We start from the raw sequence: 7295 nt of genomic DNA, 5'->3' as shown, positions 1-7295 counted from the left end.
TTGGGCCCTTCAGTCCCTGGGACTCCTTTGTCACAGCACTGATCACCTTCAGCCATGATTGGCTGGGTCTGGATCTGGATCTGCCTCCCCCCCTCAGACCTGTGCTTCTAATAAGCAGGGGCCATATCTGCATCCTCTCTCAGGGATAAGTACAGGTGGTTTTCAATAAACTTGTATAAAATAAAAGCAATTTCCTTAGCCCCCCCATCACTCCTTAGTCTTACTTGTTGTTTCATTTACTTATTTTTCTTTTCTGTAAAGTATATTACTTACTGCCAGCTACATGCAATCAATTGTAAAATACTTTCAATAACTAAAAATTGAATAATGGTAAAAAAAAAAACACACATCAGCTTTCAGTATAATTTGCTTAAATTGTTCTAGAAAACACTGCTAATTTTTGTTTCTGCAGAGTGAAGTACAGAAGTGAGCAGACTGATAAATTTTTTTTTTTTTTTTTTGGAGACAGGGTCTCACTCTCTTGCCCAGGCTGGAGTGCAGTGGTGCCATCACAGCTCACTGCAGCCTTGATCTCCTGGGATCAAGTGATCCTCCTGCCTCAGCCTTCTGGGTAGCAGGGACTATAGGTGTGTGCCACCATGCCTGGCTAATTAAAAATACTTTTTTTTGTTTGTTTTTTTGTAGAAACAGGGTCTCACTATGTTGTCCATGCTGTTCTCAAACTCCTAGGCTCAAGTGATCCTCTGGCTTCGGCCTCCCAAAGTGGTGAGATTACAGGTGTGAGCCACCACACCCAGCCCAGATTGATAAATTTATAAACATCATGGAAAGAATGATAGAAAGGAACTGGAGCCACTTGAATGACATTTGGATTCCACTTGTCATAAACCACTCCTCTTTTTTCTACCTCTTGGAAAACATCTTTCTTTGGAACAGAAAAATGTTAGTGTCAGCTGGCAGCCCTGATCCTCCATATGGGATGGAGTAATGGTCACCTCCAGGTCACCATTGGCTTCTTAGATTCTGCTTTATTTTTGCCATAGCAGTGCTAGATCAGGTATTCCAGATAACCAGTCAGCAAAATAGATTTTCTCCACAATGCTTTAATCGCTGCCTGCCTAAAGATCTCTAAACTGTAAGAAACAGACCAACAAAATGGGAGGATTTGAAATTTGGAATCCACTAACCCCAGGGATTAACTGCAGTTGGTTATCCATCTCAAATCTGGTGCTGAGTTCACAGCCAAACCACCCCAGCAGCACAGCTTTAATCATACGGGCATGCTTTTCATGGAAAAAGTACCTGCCAGACCTCCTGCTCCTGCATTCAAATTATTGTGGGAACACCAGTGGGCAAAGTCAACTCTTCTGTCACGTAAGTGAGTTCAGCATTTCCAACTGTACATGCTAGATCAAGCCAGCAAAACATCCCTTCACTTGTCCAGCTTTCGTGGTAGCAGGTATATTAAAGAGCTGCCTAGTATAAAAATGCAGCCCACTGAACAGGATTGCTGTAATTGAGCCTCCTCCCTTCTCAATTGCTTCAGGGATATCCTTTATTTTATTTTATTTATTTATTTATTTTTCTCAGATGGAGTCCTGCTGTGTCACCCAGGCTGGAGTGCAGTGACGCTATCTTGACTCACTGCAACCTCCACCTCCTGGGTTCAAGTGATTCTCCTGTCTCAGCCTCCTGGGTAGCTGGGATTACAGGCATGCATCACCACACCCAGCTAATTTTTCTTTTTTTTTTTTTTTTGAGACGAAATCTCTCTCTTGTCCCCCAGGCTGGAGTGCAATGGCACGATCTCAGCTCACTGCAACCTCCACCTCCCGGGTTCAAGCGATTCTCTTGCCTCAGCCTCCAGAGTAGCTGGGATTACAGGCGCCTGCCACGACGCCCACGCCCAGCTAATTTTTGTACTTTTAGTAGAGACGGGGTTTCACCGTGTTGGCCAGGCTGGTCTCAAACTCCTGACCTCTGGTGATCCACCGGCCTCGGCCTCTCAAAGTGCTGGGATTACAGGCATGAGCCACCGCGCCCGGCCAATATCCTTTATTCTTAAGGTTTCCTCCCCCGTCTTGGCTTTATAATCCCCTTTCCTCAATGTTAACTCCATGGAGTCGTAGCTGTGACTCAACAGTATAATGATTAAAAGAGAAAGCTTTGGCTTCTATAAGAATTTTATACCATTTGGTATAGGCTTAAACAATAACTGGACTAAGGCTGGGCGCGGTGGCTCACACCTGTAATCCAAGGAGTTCGAGACCAGCCTGTGCAACATGGCAAGACCCCATCTCTACAAAAAAATACAAAAATTAGTCTGGCGTGGTGGTGTGTGCCTGTAGTCCCAGCTACCTGGGAGGTTAAGATGGGAGGATCACCTGAGCCCGGGAAGTTGAGGCTGCAGTGAGCTGTGATTGTGCCACTGCACTCCAGCCTGGACAACAGAGTGAGACCCTGGGTAACAGTAGAAGATGTAGATTAACAGTCAGCGCATTCACTAGGGCTATTTCTTTCTCGTAGGCTCCTATAGTCCTTCTGTAGGCCTACAATACTCTCATCTCTGTATCCCAAGGATGCTGCCTTCTTCGTGACCATAGGCTCCCATTTTGCCCCACTCAACTAGCTCTTCTTCAAGATCTGTTTTAACCATTTTTGGTTGAAGGCCAAGAGGATTTTCCAGGAAATAGATAGCATTTTCATCCTTATTCACTAAAGATAAATCAACTGGAGGCAGATCCTGCATTTTGGGGACATAAAAATACTCCCCAGCTGGGCACGGTGGCTCACGCCTGTAATCTGAGCACTTTAGGAGGCCGAGGTGGAAGGACCACTTGAGGCCAGGAGTTTGAGAGCAGCCTGGGCAACAAAGCAAGACCCCCTCTCTGGAAAAAAATTAAAAAATTAGCCGGCATAGTGGTGCAAGCCTGTGATCCCAGCTACTGAGGAGGCTGAGGTGGGAGAATCCCTTGAGCCCAAGAGTTCCAGGCTGCAGTGAATCAAGACCGCACAACTGCAGTCAGCCTGGGTGACGGAGTGAGGCCCTGTCTCAAAAAAATTAAAAACAAACAAACAAAAAAACCTCCCTGAAGTGCCTTAGCTTATGTTCCTGAACTAGGTGGAAACTGTCCCTGTCATCTGCTTGGCGGCATTTGAGTTCAACCATCATGCTCTGCACTGTGACAGCTGACAAATTGTTCTCGGCTAGAATTCTTATGTGATCCTCAGCTCCCAGAACCCCTCAAGAAACTTCTCAAGCATTCTTTACAAAGGTATAGGCAAGACCACCTCAAACGACAGTGCCTCCACTCAGGGCTCCTTCCCCTAATCAGACTCAGGTAAACAAACACTTTCTTCCATGTACTTGCTTTTAACTTCATTAATTCACTTCCCCATCTGTAAATTCATTTCCTCATTCATTCATTTATTCATTATTCACTCGATAAGTCTTTTCTTTTCTTTTCTTTTCTTTTCTTTTTTTTTTTTTTTTGAGACAGAGTCTCGCCCTGTCGCCCAGGCTGGAGTGCAGTGGTGCAATCTCGGCTCACTGCAAGCTCCACCTCCTGGGGTCACGCCATTCTCCTGCCTCAGCCTCCCGAGCAGCTGGGACTACAGGCACCCGTCACCACACCTGGCTAATTTTTTTGTATTTTTAATACAGACGGGGTTTCACTGTGTTAGCCAGGATGGGCTCGATCTCCTGACCTCGTGATCCACCCACCTTGGCTTCCCGACGTGCTGGGATTACAGGCGTGAGCCACCGTGCCCAGCCAAGTCCTTTCTTTTCTTTTCTTTTTTTTTTAGAGATGGAGTCATGCTCTGTCGCCCAGGCTGGAATGCAGTGGCGCAATCTCGGCTCATTGCAACCTCCACCTCCTGGGTTCGAGCCATTCTCCTGCCTCAGCCTCCCGAGTAGCTGGGACTGCAGGCGGATGCCACCATGCCTGGCTAATTTCTTTTGTATTTTAGTAGAGACGGGAGTTTCACCATGTTGCCCAAACTGGTCTCAAACTCCTCAGCTCAGGCAATCCGCCCACCTTGGTGGATTACAGGCTTCAGCCACTGCGCCCAGCCTCAATACATCTTTTCTTTTCTTTCTTTCTTTCTTTTTTTTTTTTTTTTTCTGAGACAGAGTCTCGCTCTGTCGCCAGGCTGGAGTGCAGTGGCAGAATCTCAGCTCACTGCAAGCTCCGCCTCCCGGGTTCAAGTGATTCTCCTGCCTCAGCCTCCCAAGTAGCTGGGACTACAGGCGCCCGCCACCACGCCCAGCTAATTTTTTTGCATTTTTTTAGTAGAGACAGGGTTTCACCATGTTGGCCAGGATGGTCTCAATCTCTTGACTTCATGATCCACCCACCTCGGCCTCCCAAAGTGCTGGGATTACAGGCGTGAGCCACCACGCCCGGCCTCTATAAGTCTTTTCTAAGCACAACATAGGTTGATGCCAGCAGATACGGGATGAACTAATGAGTGACAGAGGCAATCTGCTGTAAGAAATTCTAACAGCCAGGAAGGCTTCAAGTTGGGGTGATACTGGAGCAGGGTCTGGAAGGAGGAAAGTTGGGGAAAATGCTGGGATCCCACAGCAATGTGAAGAGGGCCCCAGTGGGAGGTCGCCAGCCCATGGGACGCAGCCCGTAGGACCTTAATGCTCCCCAGCATATGAGTAGTGCATGTTCTTCCTCTCTTTGCCATGCCTGTCAGGAAGCTCAGAGCTCAGCTTGGTGCAAAGGTAGCAACTGTTGTTTGCCAGAGGTTTTGTAGTTATCTCTGTTTTGTCGCCCAAAATCTTTGACCTTTACATTGTCTATGTCTCTTATGGAAAACTTGAAATTGATGGAGTAAAATTAATAATAATAATAAAGACCTGATTCTCAGTAAGTGATGGATTCAGGACGTAAATGCAGCTCAGAGTCCAAGAGTTGTAGACTGACACCAGGCTTGTATTAGCTATCACTGCAATAATGCCACATAACAAACCACCCCAAAACTCAGTGGTTTAGAACAATCATTTAATTCCCCCTGATGCATCTGCAGGTTAGCTGAAGGTCAGTTGGTCTTGGCTGGGTGGCTCTGCCTCAGGCTAGGCTGGGATACAGGCTCTAGGCTGGGCTCTGGCTGTTCCATGTGTCTCTTGGCGGGGCGAGGCTGAAGGGCCGGCAGCCATTCAGGGGGACAATCTTCTCACAGCAGAAGCCAAGAAGACAGCTCCACTGTGGAAGTGCACCTCAAGCCTTTGGTCTTGTTATAGCCACTGCTATCCCATTGACCAAAGCAAGTTACATGGCTGAGCCCAGAGTCAAGAGACAGGGAGTGCACTCTGCCCACCTAGAGGCCGTGGCCAGCGTGAGGGGCCAATGATCAATGCCACATGCCATTTGCATCATCCAGTCTGGTCTCCACCCCTATTTCTCAGATGGGTACCCCAGGTGGATCAGTGTGGGACCAGGCAGGGTGCCCTGACTTCCCATTCCCTTTTCACAGCCCCGAGCAGGATCTCATATCACCTGGCTGATCCTCCTGGGGTGGGACCAATTCTGGAAACTGCAGTTGCAGGTGGAAGAACCTGGACTTCGGAATCACAAAGACCTGAGTTCTCTGCTCCCCAAGGCCAGCAGTGAGTCCCTGAGCAAGTCCCACCTACAAAGGAGGAAACTGAGGCTCAGAGGGGTTTGGCGACACATAGTAAGTGCTCCATCAAAAGTGGCCATTCAGGCTGGGCATGGTGGGTCATGCCTATAATTCCGGCACTTTGGGAGGCCGAGGTGGGTGGATCACTTGAGCTTAGGAGTTCAAGACCATGGTAACATGGTGAAATCCCCCCTCTACAAAATAAAAAACTAGCCAGGCATGGTAGTGTGGACGTGTAGTCCCAGCTACTCAGGAGGCTGAAGTGGGAGGATCACTTGAGCCCAGGAGATCAAGGCTGCAATGAGCTATGACAGCACCACTGCCCTCAAGCCTGGGCGACAGAGTGAGACCCTGTCTCAAAAAACAAACAGCCAGGAGCCGTGGCTCAGGCCTGTAATCCTAGCACTTTGGGAGGCTGAAGTGGGTGGATCACTCAAGGTCAGGAGTTTGAAACCAGCCTGGCCAACATGGTGAAACCCTGTCTCTACTAAAAAAAATACAAAAAAATTAGCTGGGCGTGGCTTCCGTGGGTTCCCTATCCCATGGAGAACCCACGGGACCAAGCAGGCAACTGCTTTCGTGTATTGCTTCATTGAATCCTCACAACCACCTTGCCTTATAAAAGAGGTGTTGCTATTATCCCCGTTCCACAGAAGGGGAAACTGAGGCACAAAGCAGAAAGGTCACGTGCCTGGAATCACACACCAGAAAGTGGCACAGCTGGGATTTTAACCCATGCCTGCCATGCTAGGACCAGCATCCTAGCAGCCAGGCACCATCCCCCAGCCCAGGCTGACTGCCCGTGCCCAGCTGGACTCCAGGGCTTGGCAGTCCCCAGGATGAAAAGAGGCCCCTCCCTGGGCCCTTCAAGTCACTCTGCCTGGGGGTGACACATGCAGCCACATAGGTCTCCGTGAGTTGCGGTAAGGTCTTGGGTCTCTTTATCCCTGGCATGCGGCGGGGGCACCAAAGTGACCTCAGGGATGCGGAAGTACAGGAGCCAGATTGCCAGCTGTGTGGCTCTGGCAAGTCACCTCCCCTCCCTGAGTCTGTTTCCTCAACTATAAAAAGGGATCAGTAAATGTCTCTTACTCATGGGATTGTGGGGGATTAAATTATTTGATAAATAAATGAATCATTTAGGAAAGTTCCTGGAATATAGAAACACAAGAAGAGGCAGAGGAGGAGGGGGGACAATATTACTATTGATAATATTATCCTGGGAAGCTTTTGCTGCCAGAAGCAGGAGGGACAATTTGCTGGGAAGGAAGACCCTAGGAACCAGTCCTTCCTGTGGACCTGGGACCCAGCACATTGCAGGTAGTTGGAAGGGGCCTCAGACCATCTCTGGAAACTCCATTCTATAGATGATGAGACTGAGGCCTGGGAGAGGCAGCCCCTGGGTCCAGGCTGCTCAGCAGAGCAGGCAGGCTGCCTGGCCCCACCTGGCCCCCTGCCCTCCTTCCATCCAGTCAGTCCCCATCCACCAGTCCCAATCCACCCAGTATCCATCTACCCAGTTCCCATCCACCCAGTCCCCATCCACCAATCCCCATCCACCCAGTCCCCATCCACAAATCCCCATCCACCCAGTCCCCATCTACCAATCCCCATCCACCCAGTCCCCACCCACCCAGTCCCCATCTACCCAGTCCCCATCCACCCAGTCCCCATCCACCAATCCCCATCCACCCAGTCCC

General features: G+C 49.2%; 1 pseudogene; it reads right to left on the bottom strand.

Moving 5' to 3' along the window:
• KYNUP2 (kynureninase pseudogene 2) lies at positions 1181 to 2733 on the bottom strand (annotated as a pseudogene).

This window comes from Homo sapiens, chromosome 17, assembly GCF_000001405.40.
Source record: "Homo sapiens chromosome 17, GRCh38.p14 Primary Assembly".
In the NCBI taxonomy this organism is placed as follows: Eukaryota; Metazoa; Chordata; class Mammalia; order Primates; family Hominidae; genus Homo; species Homo sapiens.
Note: the sequence above shows the minus strand (reverse complement) of the source record. Positions and strands in the feature narration are given on the sequence as shown.